At 31.6% G+C, this 17366-nt stretch overlaps 1 long non-coding RNA gene across 1 annotated transcript in view; it reads right to left on the reverse strand.

The window, feature by feature from the left end:
• LINC00376 (long intergenic non-protein coding RNA 376) overlaps positions 1-15675 on the reverse strand; it is a 144994-nt gene extending 129319 nt beyond the window's left edge. The window contains exons 1-2 of the long non-coding RNA NR_126409.1: positions 15635-15675; positions 14829-14936 (exon numbers count right to left, since the gene is read on the reverse strand). This is a non-coding gene — a long non-coding RNA (long intergenic non-protein coding RNA 376). The remainder of the gene's footprint in view (positions 1-14828; positions 14937-15634) is intronic.
• Positions 15676-17366: the final 1691 nt, after the last annotated feature.

Here is a 17366-nt window from a genome sequence, read left to right on the forward strand (position 1 = left end):
ATCCAGTGCTGCACTGGCTTCAGGTCTTAGCCAGTACAGTCCCAGTGGTGGTGGCCACAGGTGTTCTTGTGTCACCCCACCCCTAGCTTCAGTCTACTCAGAACAAAGGAGACAGAGAGAGAGAGAGAGAGAGAGAGAGAGAGAGAGAGAGAGAGAGTCAATTTGTTTGGGAAAAAGTAAGGGAAGAGAACAAGAGTCTCTGTCTTGTGATCCTGAGGTTCTTCTGGACCTTATCCATGACCACCAAGGTGGTACCTCTACAAGACTACAAGAACATGACATTATTGGTCTTGAGGTGCCCCCTAAGCAGATATGGCTCAGATCACAATGCCCAAGTCCTTTTAAAAACATGGAAAGCCTTCCTATGAAAAACGCGTAAAAATAAGCCCAGACTACAATGACTGCAATAAAGACATAACTCTTCAATGCCTGGACACAGATGAACATCTACAAACTTCAATACCATCTGGGAAAACCTGACCTCACCCAAAGGAAATAAAAAAGGTGTCAGGGACCGATCCTACAGAAACAGAGATATTTTACCCTTAAGACAGAGAACTCAAAATTTTTTTTGCGAAACACAAAGAAATTCAAGATAGCATAAGGAAGAAATTCAGAATTCTTTCAGATAAATTTAACAAAGAGATTGAAATAATTAAAAAGAATCAAACAGAAACTCTGGAGCTGAAAAATGCAATTGACATACTGAGGTGATCAGAGTGTTTTAGTAGCAGTATTGATTTAGTGAGCTGGAAGACAGGCTATTTGAAAATATGCAATCATAGGAGATAAAAGAAAAAATAATAAAAAAAATGAAGCATGCCTACAGGATCTAGAAAATATCCTCAAAAGGACAAATGTAAGAGTAATTGGCCTTAAAAAGGAGGTAGAAAGAGAGATAGTGGTAGGAAGTTTATTCAATAACAGAGTACTTTCCAAACCTAGAGAAAGATATCAATATCCAAGCACAAGAATCTTATGGAACACCAAGCGCATGTAACCTAAGAAAGAGTACCTCAAGGCATTTAATAATCAAATTCCAAAAGGTCAAGGATAAAGAAAGGATCGTAAATGCAGCAAGAGAAAAGGAACAAATAACTTACTATGGAGTTCCAATATGTCTGGCAGCAGACTTTCCAGTGGAAACCTTATAGGCCACTGAAATGTTGATTATGTATTCTGCAACTTTACTAAATTTATCAGTTCTAATTTTTTTTCTTTTTCTGATGGACTCTTTAGTTTTTTTTCAAATATAAGATCCAATCATCTGCAAACAAGGATAATTTGACTGCTTCCTTTGCAATTTGGATGCCTGTATTTCTTTCTCTTGTATGATTGCTCTAGCTAGGGATTCCAGCATTATCTTGAATAACAGTGATGACAGTGGGCATACTTGTTGTATATATATTTCTTATACAGGCATTGTAGACATTCTCTCTAGGTTATCAAAAATCCATTTATGACCTTCCTCCTCTGTATGTCCATGTGTACCCATTGTTTAGCTACCACTTATAAGTGAGAGCATGTAGTTTTTGATTTTTTTGTTTCTGAGTTACTGGGGACTCCAAAAAGGGGGAAGTTTTGATGGGGGTGAGGACTGAAAAATTATCTATTGAGTATGATGTTAACTATTTGGATAATGGATATACTAAAAGCTCAGACGTCACCATTATGCAACATATTCATGTAACAAACCTTCGTGTATACACCCTGAATCTGTAAAAAGAAACTAAATTGTTTAAAAAGACCTTTCTTCTTACTAGTAGAGACTCGATTTTGCTTACATATAATTATCAAGGAAGTTGTATTGAACTAAGAGTAAAATTTGAATTGTGAAAACTGGAATCACAAGAACTTGTTTTGTGGTTACAGTACAAGCATACGTACATATTGGTAATAAAATTGGGGGAAAACTGACATTTTGAGAATGCTAAACAGAATAGAAAAGTATAACTCATGAGGTTATGACGCTCAAAAGACTGTCAGGATAATAACAACAATAGAGATGAAGTTCAAAATCTATGGGCTAACAACCGCAGTTAAAGATTGCAGAATAAGGGCATGTTTTACGCTTCTTGATTCTATAACATACAGAAAACAACAAAAGTAGTGTGAAGGAGATGAAATAATGATACGATCCATGAAAGGTTAAAATCACCACAAAAAATGGTGACAATAATGAAGAATATCTATTATTTGTTTTTAAATCAGGGAGAATGAACAACAGTGACTTATAAAAGACTGACAATGTCTTGAAATGTAAATGAACATTTCTAAAAGTCTCAATAAATTATTTAATTCTATATAAAATGATATGTTTTAGAAGGAACTGAAAGGGCCACAGGAAGTGGAATACTGTAGTACTATCCCTGTAGTACTATTTCCACATTACCACACTAAAATATGAATGTAACAGGCTAAGATTAAAATTAAACTACTTAGATATTATATATTTAAATTCTATAATTCATACTTTAAACTTTAAAAAGTCCTTGGAGATGTAAGAGGAAGTTCAGAATAATCACAGCCATCACCTGCAGCTGCTGATCAAAGTCAGCCATGGTAAGCACAAAATATTTTAAGACCAAAAAAAAGAAAACTATTATTGTGTTTTCTCCAATTATTTTCAATAACTTAGAATACTTTTTCATAAAACCTTCTGAATTCTGAGCTTCTGAATTATTTCCTTTCTTTTAAATGGTAATAAAATTAAAGCTAAGAGGTGTAGAAATAACGTTTCACAAATACTTCTCCATAAATGGAAACACAGATCCTAGAAAAGAAGAGTAGATTTCAAGAAGACACAACATCCGAAAAGTAAACTGGTAGAGCTCTAAAATACATAAATAAATGAGCAGATAAATTAACAAACTCCAATTATGGGAAATATATCCACAGAACAGACAAAAGTAGAATCTAGTAAAAAACAGTCCTGAAGAAAATATTAGATATGAACCATAGACAATTCCATAAATGTAGAATTGGTGTTTCTAAAAAGAAAAAGAGTAAATTATATTAAATAGTTTTCCACACATTTTAATATATGCATATATACATATATAATAAACAGGTAAATGTGTTTTTTAAAAAGTTTCTGAGTATAGAAAATCTGCAAAATTATTACATATTCATTTCATGAGGCTAATATAACCATGACACTAAGTACTAACAAATACGTAATAAAAACAGAAATTAGGGGCCAAAAATTATTTTTCAGAAGTCCAAATAACAAAATAATTCTAATAAGATGTTAAAATAAGTAGATAACATGTGGCTTTAGCAAAAATTAAACAGACTGAAATTAACTACTGTTAGAGCACATACACATAAATGGTCACTTTCATACAATGCTGATAATACTAAAAAATATGCAATGTCACTTAGTAAGGCATTTTAATGTTTTTAAGCAAAAATTCAAATTAACATTTTTTGCTCTAATTGTGAATATATGGGCACAAAGATTTATATACACAAGGCTTTAAAAGTATCAAATTATTGCTCAGAATCACCTTGGTGCAAAGCAATAAAAACAATCTGAATATCTATTAATTGGAAAATAGATAAATTACACTACCTACAATCTTAGAATTGTTATTTTAAAACTGTAGGCTCTGTATTATATTTGATATATCCAACAAATATTTATGACATGCCAGGCAAGCAAAATAAAAAAAGAACACAGATGAATCTAATGACCAACATGAGATAATATTCCCAACTCCACTCTGTGAACTTCCTGAGTATTGCTTCATCCTATTCCTCAGGGAAGCCCTCCCCTAAATTCTGTGTTCCTTTTCTATGGCTTACCCATATTCACCAAAAATACATTAATACTTTTTTTAACTAAATATAATTTAGTTAAGATTTGGATAGATTAAATTGTTTCACCTTGTGTGGACATATCAAATTTTATCATTTTATTCTCTTTAATTATTCCCAGGTTTTTAATGTTATAAATAAATTTATGAAAATTATCATGTATGTTTTCTTGTAAATAAATATGAGGGAATTTCAGGGATACACCTTTAAGAATAGACTTGCTGGAAGTGGAACGATAGAGTACTTCTGAGCGTGAAATGTAATAACCCTATATGTCAGGATTTAAAAATACTTTTAAGAATGAAGAAGTTACAGCAACATATTGTTTAATTCCCATCATATATATTTCATATCATAGAAGAAATCTTATCATAAGTTAAATCATCTTTGAACCACTGAAAAATTACCACAAATCTCCAAATTTGCCAGTTGTAAAGAGGCTCACGAGAACATCTTGCAACTTTCGGGGAATACATATCATGTGCCTTTTTATTTTATTTTATTCATTTATTTATTTATTTTGTCAACTTTTTCTTATTATTATTATACTTTAAGTTCTAGGGTACATGTGCACAACATGCAGGTTTGTTACATATGTATACATGTGCCACGTTGGTGTGCTGCACCCATTAATTCGTCATTTATGTTAGGTCTATCTCCTACAGAGTAAAATGTGTCATGTTCTAACTACTTTAATGACACCAAGTTTTTATACCAAAACTTTAAAAAATTGTACAAAGAAAAGTAAATAAATGAAATTGTTTAAATAGACCCAAAGCACTTAATTTTTAGTAATTCCTCACGGTACAATCTTGCAGATTTTTCACCTGTGCAAAAATAAATTCCCATCGAATTTCATAGTTGAACATTAATAATAAAACAATAAAGCTTTGAAGAATAACACAGGAGAACATATTACTAACACTGGATTAGGCAAAGATTCTGTAAACAAAACAGGTGAAAATGAGAAGCATAAGCTGTGCAACAATTGATTGTTTATCAAACGAAAGCATTAAAACAGTAAAAATACAATTCAAAATTAAAAAGATATACTCACAATACATATGACAAGGTACTTTTATACAAATTATAGCTTAGAATCTTCAAACAATTAATAAGAACAAGACTTAGATACTTGCAAAGAGGAAGTATAATTGACCAAGTATATATATGCTCTAAGAGTAGTTAATTTCAATCTTTTTAGTTTTTGCTTAAGCCACATGTTATCTACCTATTCTAACATCTTATTAGAATTATTTTGTCATTTGGACTTCTGAAAAATAATTTTTGGCCCCTAATTTCTGTTTTATTACATATTTGTTAGTACTTAGTGTCATGGTTATATTAGCCTCATGAAATGAATATGACTTAGATTATCACACAAATCTGTATTATTATCAATATTAGTACTCATCATTCAGCAATTGAGAGAACATTGTTTACAAATTTAACAAAACTGTATATCTGAGAATTATTCATCTTCTAAATCTAATTTGTATTTATAGAATACTACACACACTGCACAAAATGCACTATTTTCAAACATACATGGTATATTCACCAAGATAGATCATGCAATAATCCATAAAATAATTCTTAGTTAAGTAAGAAAATTGAAAACATGATAACTGAATCCCAACAGACAAAGACAACTGTAGCATGGGCTCACAGTCCAAAGAGAGCTATATAAGGAGGGTATAAACTTTGCCTTAGACATTTTTGAGACCTCTTTTTTTACCATAAATTGTACGTTACCTATGTTTCATTCAGAATAAAATTCTAATTACAAAATATTTTCTTTGCAGCTTTACATTAATTTTCCCAGCATATATTTCTATCTTTATAAACAGTGCACTAATACTAAAATATCTTTAGTCAGATTCTCATATTTTCTAGTATTGATCATGGGAAGCTCTCTGTTTCTCTTTTCTATTCTATTCAGCCATTAAGACACAGCACAAATTAGATGTTCTTTTAATAAAATTGTATTGTCTTTCTTGAGCCTACAATGGAAGGTGTCTCCTTTCTCTGCTTGAACGTATATATACCATAAAAATAATATTGTGACTGTATTTTTGTAACTGGTATTTTCATTGTTTATCTCTACTTCTGTTAACCTATTGATTGTTTTGATTATTGCTGCCTCCCACTATTTACCCAGGCCCTGGACTGTGGCAAATACTCACTAGACACCTATTGAATTGAATTGTAACTTAACAATGTTTATTATTTTAAAATGAAATACTTAATGATCAAGGAACATAGCATATGCAGGGACTTTTTATTTTATTTTCTTCCCAGCAAATATACCTAATACTATGATGACATTTCTTAGTAAATATTGAATTTCAGTAAGTTAAATTAGATTATATTCAATTTTAATATTACCATCAAAAATGTTAGTCAGCTAAACTACTTATTATTTGAAAGCCTACTACATACCAGACACAGGATCTAGGAAATTAATTAAATATTCTTTTCAAGCGTCAGAAAAAAAACTTGTAAGATGGCTCAAATTTCCTCAATATTCAATATTCTTTCTAAGCTGGAAAATTTTTAAAAGCAAGATGTACAATATATGAGTTACAAATTCTTACTGTCTTTTTTCTAGAAATGATTACCATGACCTTTTTTGGAACTTTTTTATATCTCTCTTGATTTCAACATGATGTTATAAAAATGTTAAAATGCTGACAAAATTTATTGGTACTACATTCAGGTAATGTCTAGTAAGCTCCGTAAACTCATGAATAATGTGATGTAACTGCTCATGAATACTGAGTACAGTATACTATCTGATGCGCTCCTTATGAAAAAATATAGAACACTATAAATAGTGCCTGAATTTGTATTAGTTCAATTAAATAAATTTATTCTCTAATCTAAAAGTAATTATTTTCATTAGTATTTTGTTGAAATATTTTTCTCCTGAATTTTGGAGACTAACTTACTATGGTGTATTAGCTTCCTATTGCTACTGTAACAAATTACCACAAAATTTGTGGCTTAAAACAACACAAATGTATCATCTTACAGTTCTGAAGGTCAAAAGTATGAAGTATAAATTACAGGTTAAAATCAAGGCGTCAAGAGAGTTGTGTTCCTCCTAGAGATATTATGGGCGAATCCATCATGGATATTTTCGGCTTTTACAGAACACCTGCATCCCATTGCCCATGGGCCTTTCCTGCATTTTAAATGCATTACTTTGTGCATCAAATCTCTGTTTCCTTTATCTTTCTGATTCTCACCCTCCTCCCTGAATCTCCTCCTTTCCTCTTAAAAGAACTCCCATGATTCCATTAGGCCCACTCAGACAGTCCAGCATAATCTTCCTGTATCAGCATCTTTAATTTAATCTAACTACAAAGTTCCCATATCAGTTTGCTAGGGCTGCCATAACAAACTACCACAGAATACGTGGCTTAAACAACAAAAATTTATTTTCTTACAGTTCTGGATGCAAAAAGACAAAGAGCAAGGTGTTGGCAAATTTGAATTTTCCTGAGGCCTCTCTTCTTGGCTTGCAGGTGGCATCTTCTTTTTCCAGCCTCGCATGGTCATTCCTACATGCATGCATCTCTGCTGTCCCCTCGCCTGTCAAATTTCCTCTTTTTATAAGGAAAACAGATTGGATTCGGCCCAATTCTGACAGCCACATTCTAACTTAATAACATCTCTAAAGGCCCAATTTCTAAATACAATCACATTCTGAAGTACTGGGTGTAGGGAGGCAACATATAAATTTAGGAGGAATATAATTCTGCCTAATATAATTCAGCCTATACTTCAACCAGTTATTTTTAACATATGAGGTAATACACTCACAGGCTCCAGGGATTAGGACATGGATATATTTGGGAAACCATTATTCCATTTACCACATATGATTTCTATAACTACTTACCATCTAAAAGTTAAACTTATTTAATTACTCAAGCCCAGAAAGGTGGATAACTTTTAGAAGAAGACATAAGTCTCTTCTAGGTTTTGTGTTCCTATTCTGACATCTGTTTTTAAACAAGTATTATTGCTAGTATTACTTAATTGCAACATATTAGATAAAAGGTAGAAAGTTTTTTTTCAACAGTGAAAAATGTATTTTTCTTAATGTTGATTTCAGAATTCAAAGCCTAACTACACGTAGGTTTTTTATTACACTTCATTTTGTAGTGTAAATGTTTTACTTTTTTGATTGTAAATAGACTAGAGGTATATGTCTTAGATATTTGAGAAATCCAATGTAATTTTGTGTATTTTTCACCTTTTATTAATACATTGAGCATATTAGCAACTTATTCTAATGAGCACTTTCTTCATTAAATTTTTTATCTCTAGAGGATGTTGTCTTGATATTCCAATTCACTATATTCTTAATAATTACTACAAATGAAGGTAGGCAATTTATCTTTGACTGTTTGCTAACAAAAAATACATTTCAAAAATGAGCAGCATTTGGCCAGTTCTCATTGGGTCCTTCTATGGCTATTCTTAATCATATTTCAATTTATGTTGTTAAATTATTTTCTGGTATTTTGTAATGCCATACTAACACACATGGTTATCTCAGTAAAACAAGCAAATGAATAAAACCCTCTGCTTTTTGACAATGTCATCCCATTCAAACTGGCATAATGTATTTGTTAGGATTTATTTTCTCTCCCCTCGAAATGTTACACTTTATATCCAAGGGATCATTTAAACATCTTCGGTAATGATAGAATACAGTAAACTCAACTTTAGTGTCATAGACACAGTTCAGCATCACTAGGGGCCTTATTAGTAAGGCATGATATATTTAATGTTCTACATTTAGTGCTTAGTACTGTTAAATTTCATAGTATTTCTAGGCTGAGTGAATTCCCAAAACATTCGATAGAGTGAATTCCCAAAACATTAAAAAAAATAATTTAAGAAGCTCTTATTTGTATACGTATTTTAAAAATAGAAATACCTACTTATATATGTTAATTCCAAAAATTAGTATCTAAATATTTATTATTACTGTGTATTTACTGGTTGTGCAAAATGCATTTGGTTTCCTTTAATTGAATGACCTTGTCAAGAGTTTAAAATTCCATTTTGAAGTATGTTTCAACAATGGCACAAAGGCTTTTGTTTTAACTTACTTTAAACTTTGAAAGGATTTCAGGGTATATTTTATAGACAGTTACATTATAAACTCAAACTGGATTTATATATTACTGTGGAAGTACTGTATATACTGTCTTCAATAGGTATTTCCACATGCCTTTGTTGTACTGACATTATTATTATAATGTATTTAACTGAAGAACAGAGTATTTTAGCAAACCTAACAACAAAAGCTGCTGACACAGGGCATCTTAGCATTTTCATTAGTTTCTTGATTAGGTGCCACATCTGAATCAATTAAAATTTCATGTGGCAATCTAACTTAATTGTTAGGGACACTAACATGAGCCAGTTAGCTTTTTTAATGTGATTGCTTGCAGGAAAGTGGAACTAGTAGTATCCTAGCAGCTAGAAGGTCAAGGTAATTTGGATGTTGACATCATGCCTTTATCAGAGCTGAAGATTGAACTTGTAAGCTAATGCAGTCAAAACCCATCCATGGCTGCACATTCTCAACAAAAGTATATTTACTATTTAGATTTTGAGTCTGGAACTGATAAAAATTTTAGAATCAATATTCCACAAACTTAATGTTTACTTATTAAAAACAACAGATAACCAAAAGTATAATTGTCTTAGGAAAGACAGGAAAGTGTATATATTTTCAAAATATTTTTAAAAAGACTATTAAAATAAAATTAAGATCAGTAACAATTAATTGACCTTAACTTATAAATATTAACAATGGCAATAAATATAAACCTCGTGTGGACAGGACACATAAGATATGGATCGTGTTTTATTCAGAAGTTTGGTTTTAACCAAATAGAATCATTCATGTCAAATGTATGATTAAATCATATTTTCACTAATGGTGAGATTAAAGCATAATTTTTATTTGAACACTTCATTTCCTGATGTTTGTTTTCATTTTTAGTTACTGTGAAATTTAAAACAGAATTTTACAAACCATAGGTATAAAAATAATAAAAATCCTAAAGACGATAAAAATCCATGTTTTCTTATTTTATCTTTTTTATGAATGCAAAGTACATATGAATGGGGACTTTTGTTCTCTCTAGTGGAAAATGATACAACATTCTCCAGCTTATAGTTTACTTAGATTTTTCATTATTTTCTCAGTAATAAAACTGATTGAATAAAATACAGTATCTTGGAATAAAATATACCCTGAAATCATACTGAAAAGTAGGTGTAATAATCTCATATGAACAACAAGGCACGTACTATTCAAATCGGAAAGTTATTTTTCTTTCCTTTACTGACTAAACAGCATATCATCTAGTAACACACTTACTTCTTGCTAAAATCTTTATCGAGTAAACTGTACACATAACTCATAATTCATTGAAAGGGAAGTTTTATGAAACAGATAATGTCCATTTGCCTGCACAATTGAGTCCCAAAGTATAATGAATCTAGGCCTGTCTTGAGCAATTAGAAACAAATTTGCAACTGTTTCGAAACATTAGTTTTTAGCTGACAGTGAAAGAGAGAGAAAGAGACTGTTAGAGAAAGAAGATAAAATTTTAATAAATAATCTTATACTACTTATATTTTATTTTAATTCTCAGGAACACAGATTAATGAACATAACTTATTTATGTTTCAGAAATTTATTTTAAAAATTCTGTTTAGAATTTTGCTAATTAATGTCTAATTATTTGAGGCTATATATGTATCCAAATATGGCAGTGCCTACTGACCATATTAACAGTTTATAATTACAGTATGTTAACTAATACAGGATTTCAGAAACCAAAGTAGTCTTAAGCCCATTTATTTATATGAAATGACCATACTGTCAATACTGTTAATGAATTGAGGAAATTATTTATATGAAAATATAAATATGAAGATTTAAAATACAAGTTATACAACATTGATTACAATATTTAGTGCAAGTAAAATATGCTCATTTGATTGACTATAGAAAATATTCACCTAAACATTAGATGTAATTATTCACAATAGCCAAGATATGGAAACAACCTAAATGCCCATCACAAAGGAATAGTTAAAGGAAATGTGGTATACATACACAATAGTGTATTATTCAGTATTTAAAAAGAAGAAAATCCTGACGTTTGTAACAATATGAATGGGCTTGGAGAATATTTTGCTAAATGGAATAAGTTAGACACAGAAAGACAAATATTGTGTGGAATTTAAAACAGTCAAACTCATAAAACAGAAAGTAGAACTTTGTTGCCAGGTCCTGGGAGGAGGATGTAATGAGGAGGTGTTGGTAAAAGGGTGTAAACATTCAGGCATGCAAGATAAATAAGTTCTGGAAAGCTACTGTACAACATAGGGCCTACGACCAAAAATATTGCATTGTATAAACAAAAATTTGCTAAGAGCATAGATCTTATGTTAAGAGATCTTACATAAAAGAAAGAAACAAAACAAGAACATAAAACCAAAGCGGGCAGAAGGAAACTTTTGAGGTGATGGATAAATTTCTGGCATTGCTTATGATGATGATTTCATGGGTGTAGACATATCTCCAAACACATCAAACGGTATACAATAAGTCTTTACAGATTTTTGTATGTCAATACAATCTCAATATAGATGCTAAAAAATCAGCTGTAGCTAATTTTGGTTGACAAAATTTTAGAATTTTAGTTGTGCTTCATATTTCTGGAGGATAATGTGTAAGATTCTTTATCTTTCAGGATTATTGTAAAACATGAAATAAACAGATTTGAGAGCAGAAGAGTCCAAAATTACACTTCAGTAGTTAAAATGTATAAACTCAAATCCTGTTCAAGTTTTTCTTCTTTTCCTTTTCTTTTTCCTTCTTCCTGCACTAAATTATCTAAGTATTTTTTCCCCAGAAAAAAATCAATAATGATATAAAATTGAGCCAAAATTGATTGTAGATGTTATCATAGACTGCCTTGAAGATAGACATAAGCATACTAATATAAAATAGCCTAGCCCAAAAGCAAGTTATTGATCAATAAATTTTTATATTATAATCCTAATACTTGTCAAACACACAATTTTATACTTTCGGCCCAGATAGCCCAATGGCGTTTTAAATAATATGGAATTATGTGGTGGCATTAGCCAACTGGGGTCAATTGCTACATAAAGATTTTTGTTACAGAGAAATCAAAGATAAATCTGAACAGAGTAGCACAAAGTTTAGTCTAAGTAGTATAAGTTTTTATTTTAAGGTACCTAAAATTGAGGCAGTTTGTATATGTAAACCATTTGTTTTACAGCTGTATTCAAAGATCTATGTTTTGTGAAAGCTTGGAAGCAAAGACTTCCAGAGTTTTGTTACTATGGAGAGAACTTCCCTTTCTCTCAGGTATAATGACTGTATATTTTTGGCTGTCAGGTCCATCGCTTTGTTTGCCACCTAACAGCACAAATTATTAATCAATAGCAATTTCCCAGGACACTAACTGATTCTCTATAAGAAACATTTTCAAAAGAAGGTGGGTACTAAGAAGGAATAAGATTAAGTATTAGTTAGAAGAAACTCTGAATTTCCACATTTATTAACCTAATTCAAAATGGGAGTATATTTGGATAAGATGAAACTTTGTCACTTCAAAATTAGAATCCTTGCATTATGTAATGATGAATATAGCCAGTTACAAAATCATAAACCTAAGTAAAATGGCAGATAACATTAATAAAGAAAATTTATAAAATTTAAATGCAAAGACTACAGAATTACCCCCTAATCTGCAATTTGGCTTCCCATGATTTCAGTTAATTGCAGTACAGTACAATAAGATATTTTGAGAGCAGAGAGAAAGAGACTACATTCACATAACTTTTGTTACAGTATATTTTTATAATTTTATTTTATTATTTAATATTATTGTTTTTAATTTCTTACTGCACCTAATTATAAGTTAAACTTTATCATAGATATGTTTGTATAGGAAAACACATAGCATACATAGGGTTTGCTGCTATCTGTGGTTTCCGGCATCCATTGGGGGTATTGGAAAGTATCCCCTGAGGATTACGATGAAGTACTAACCCTTAAAAAAAAACTGAGAGAGTGACCCCACCTGAAATAACACATAGGACATAAATTTAAAGGGTGAATAAGAGGAAATTTTTAATAAATTTTTAAAATTTAATAACATTTATCTTTTTCCAAGTCTCAGTTACGGTCACACTAGTTTTTTCTGAGTTACTACATTTGAAAAGTCACTATCATGCATCCAGGTCCACAAGTTAAAAATGGAGAAACACCTCTACTTCTCACATTTATTTTACAATAGAACAGCATAACATGGTAATCTGCTTTGTAAGCATCCCTAAAATCCATTTAATTATCTTTATTACCACCTCCATAAGCTAGTTTAAGCTACCAACTTCTATCTCCCAGACTACTGCAATAGATGATTAACTGTGCATACACAAGACCAACTCCTCTAATCTATTATTTAGAGAGTAACCCAGAAAAATCTTTGCAAAATGCAAATCTGATTATTTTTCTTCTATGCTTAATTTCTTTCAATAGCCTCACTTTTATCTTGTGGCAAATAAGGGCACCACTTTAAATGACCTCTGTCTTTCAGCTTAATGTCTCTCTCTCTCTCTCTCTCTCTCTCTCTCTCTCTATTTGTTCCTGTCACACTGGCCTTCTTCCTTTTTTTAAGATAAAATTCATCCTCAAATATTCTAGTACATATATTAATATCAATAGCTATTAAAATGTAATTGAAAATAAATCTAAATAAAAATGGTTAAAAAGTTAAAACCTTCAATCAAAGTTTCAAATAATCAATATATTTGTGAATAAATTCTCAAGCCAACTAGGTTAAAATTTAAAAATAAACATAATTTAAAATAAGATAGAAATCTGAAAAGTTGCAATATTTAAGTTGGCTGTGCTATAAAAAGAGGTTAATTTTCCTACATTGCTAGAAAAACTGCTATTGATAGTTACTTTATTTTTTTTGGAGGAAAATTGCTCAGTATCCAAAATCTACAGTGACATACAACTTGGTTCAGCCAGCATTTCATAGAAATCATAGTCTATATCCATAAAAATATACTTATGTATTAATATGTTGATTATAATATCTCAACGTAGAAATGAATTAAATGTCCATTTAAAGGTAAATGAAGATAATGAAGTATAATGGTAATCAAATGCACCAAAACCCAGCATATTTATAGTTTATTATGGCATAAATAGTGGATGGAACAGAAAAGAAATTTGTCATATTATCTTCTCTAACTACATTTCTTACATTGCATCCTCTGACTCCTCTTGACGGTGATAATGAACTGTTAAACAAACAGCTATATAACTACAAGCCACCTAACCAAACAAATCTACAGCCACCTGGAAATGCTTCTCTTTTATGAATGCCTCTTCCAACTTTTTAATTTTTCTTTAGGAATATATTAGTGTTTTCAGAGTGTATACACAGCTGACATGTTAAGCACCTTACATTTCATTCTAATTGTTGGCCAAATTTACTGGCAATTAAGTAGTATGTATGTTTTGATTCCTCTGAGTTTTTAAAATAATTGAACTTATGTGTAATAAAGAAGGAGTGGGTTAGTGAAGTCATTGTTAATTGCATCAAAAAAAATCTGTCGGGAAAGTTAATCAGAACTTAAAACTCATTTCCTATGGGACTGCACTTTCAATGTAATCATATCCTCGAAGAGGTTATATAGTGTGAAATTGTAGGAAAATGTGAGAAACTAATGCAGAGATTTTCATCACTTTTGAAAAACAGCCAATTCCACAATATTTTTAGTTAGATAAGAAATTTTGGTAAAATTAGACATAGTATCACATATATAATATTGTATCACCATTAATATAAAGTTAAAAATGATACTAAGCAGACAGATTTAGGTATCACCTCTATCTCTAGAGATTTATATCTACTTACTCTGTGTCTTTCAGTGCTTCTCACTTCTATGACCTCTTCATCTCAATCAAAACTCCTTTACCTACTCGCAGAATAATTATGCTGCCCTAGAAAATCCTGATGGCCATTCTGTCAAAATACGTTCATAATATTACTACCTCTCATCGCTTCTCTTTATAGCACCTTCGTACATGCCACTCTTATCTACTGTTTTATTCCAATCGCTTCTTAACTGGTTTTCCTAGTTATATCCTGTCCACTTTTGATCATTGATCATTGTCAAGAGCAGCTATATTCCAATTTAAACATAAGGCAAGTTAGAATATGATGTCGGTTGTGTTCAAAACACAGTTAACTCAAAGAAAAAAAAAGCTAAAGTCATGTAATGCCTAAAGGACTCTAACTGAATAGAACATCAGTTACGACTCTGACATCATTGTGTTATTTTACTCTTTTCACTTACTTCACTATAGCCACATTGATTTCAAGATACTAATGTGTGGTGTTTTAGTGATGAACTAATATCTATATACAGCTGCCAAAGATTGAAAGTGAAAATGTGACTTCAATTTATTTTGTGGCAAGGTGTTGAGGCAATGTTGAAGGACATGCAAATTATGTGCTGAGCAGTACTTTACTACAAGATTGTCACTAATATTTTGCATTTTCAATGAGCTCTACCCTGACCTCCCTATTTAAAATTACATCTCCTGAGATTCTTTCTTTTCATCATTCCTAATTTATCCTCCCACCACCCATTTATGCTTATCAACTTCTAATATACAATCTGTGACCAATCGTATTTTCCAAAGATGGCACAATCTCACTTTTACATTTTAGCAGTCTGACATTGGTGGAGTCTAATTGTTCTCCTCTTGAATCTAAACTGGCATTCAAGTGACTGCTTGAACTATAGAATGCAGGAGAAGCCATATTCTGAGAATTCTATGACTATGTCATAAGATGTCTTGTAGCCTCCACACAATTCTCTTAGAATTCTTGTTCTTGGAACTCTCCCTTTTAAAATGCAAGCACCATGCTATGTGATGCTCAAGTCACATGGAATGGTTAAATATATTAGGTTAGTGCAAAAGTAACTGTCGTTCTTGCCATTGCTTTTAATATTTGCACCAATCCAAGGTTCAGCTGAGCTCTCAAATGACATCCAACATTTACTGCCAGACACTGATAGGTTTTGAATCTGTGACTCCACCCAAATTTTATGTTGAATTGTAGTCCTCAGTGTTGGAGGTGGGGCCTGGTGGGAGGTGATTGAATCATGGGGGCCGAGTTCTCAAGAATGGTTTAGTGACATACCCTCAGTGCTATACTCATGATAGTGAGTGAGTTATCATGATACCTGGTTGTTTTTAAGTGTGTAGCACTTCTCTCCTCTCTCTCTTTCTCCTGCTCCCACCATGTAAGACATTCCTGCTTCCCCTATCCCTTCTGCCACAATTGAAAATTTCCTGAGGCCTTCCCGGAAATCAAGCAGATGCCAGCATTATGTTTCCTATACAGCCTGCAGAATTGTGAGCCAATTAATCCTCCTTTCTTTATAAATTACCCAGTCTCAGGCATTTCTTTATAGCAATGCAAGAATGGACTAATACACACATAAATGAACTCTCTTGGATATCCAGCCTAATTAAGCTTTCAAATGTCTACTTCAGACTCAGCAAACAACAAAATGCAGCAGTGAGAGAAATTCCAAGTAAGAACTGCTCTTCAGAGCCTAGACATTCCACAGATACCTAAAAGAGAAAAATATATTCTGGCTTCTTGTTTGTTTTAAGACATAAATGGTCTTTTTATTTTTAACATAGCAAAAGATAATTATTATTTGTCATGTTTATTGTATTTTCTAGCCAAATAATATATAACCTTCATTAGGCCAGGACACTTACCCTTCTGCTTGTTCAAAACTGTATTTCCAAATATGATATAGTGTTTGACACCTGTTACATACTCAAGAATTATTTATTGGTTGATGATTGTAATAGTTAATTTTATGTGTCAAACTGATGGGCTCACAAGATGCACAGACATTTAGTTAAATGTTATTTCTGGGTGTGTCTGTGAGGGTGTTTCCAGAGGAGGTAGTATTTGAATTAGACTGAGTACAGTACATCGTACTCACTTATGTGGGTAGACACCATCCAATACATTGAATTCCTGAATAGAGCAAAAAGATAGGGGAAGGGGGAATTCTCCCTTTCTCTGCTTGACAACATGAACTGGAACATTGATCTTTTCCTGTGCTAGGCATACTTAGTTCTCAGGTCTTCAGACCTGGACTGGAATTTACATCATTAGCCCTTTACACTACACCTCCAGCTTTCCTGGATCTTCATCTTGCAGAAGGTACATCATGGGACTTTTCAGCTTTCATAATTACATAAGCAAATACCTTAAAATAAATACCTTATAATAAATAAATAAATATATGCTCAAGTGATTGTGGAAGGTTAGATATCCCATTCTCTACCATCTACAAGCTGGTATATAGTATATAGTGACATAAGTAAATAAATACATACATATTTTATACATCTATGT

The sequence above is a fragment of the Homo sapiens genome, chromosome 13 (genome assembly GCF_000001405.40).
Source record: "Homo sapiens chromosome 13, GRCh38.p14 Primary Assembly".
Taxonomy (NCBI): domain Eukaryota; kingdom Metazoa; phylum Chordata; class Mammalia; order Primates; family Hominidae; genus Homo; species Homo sapiens.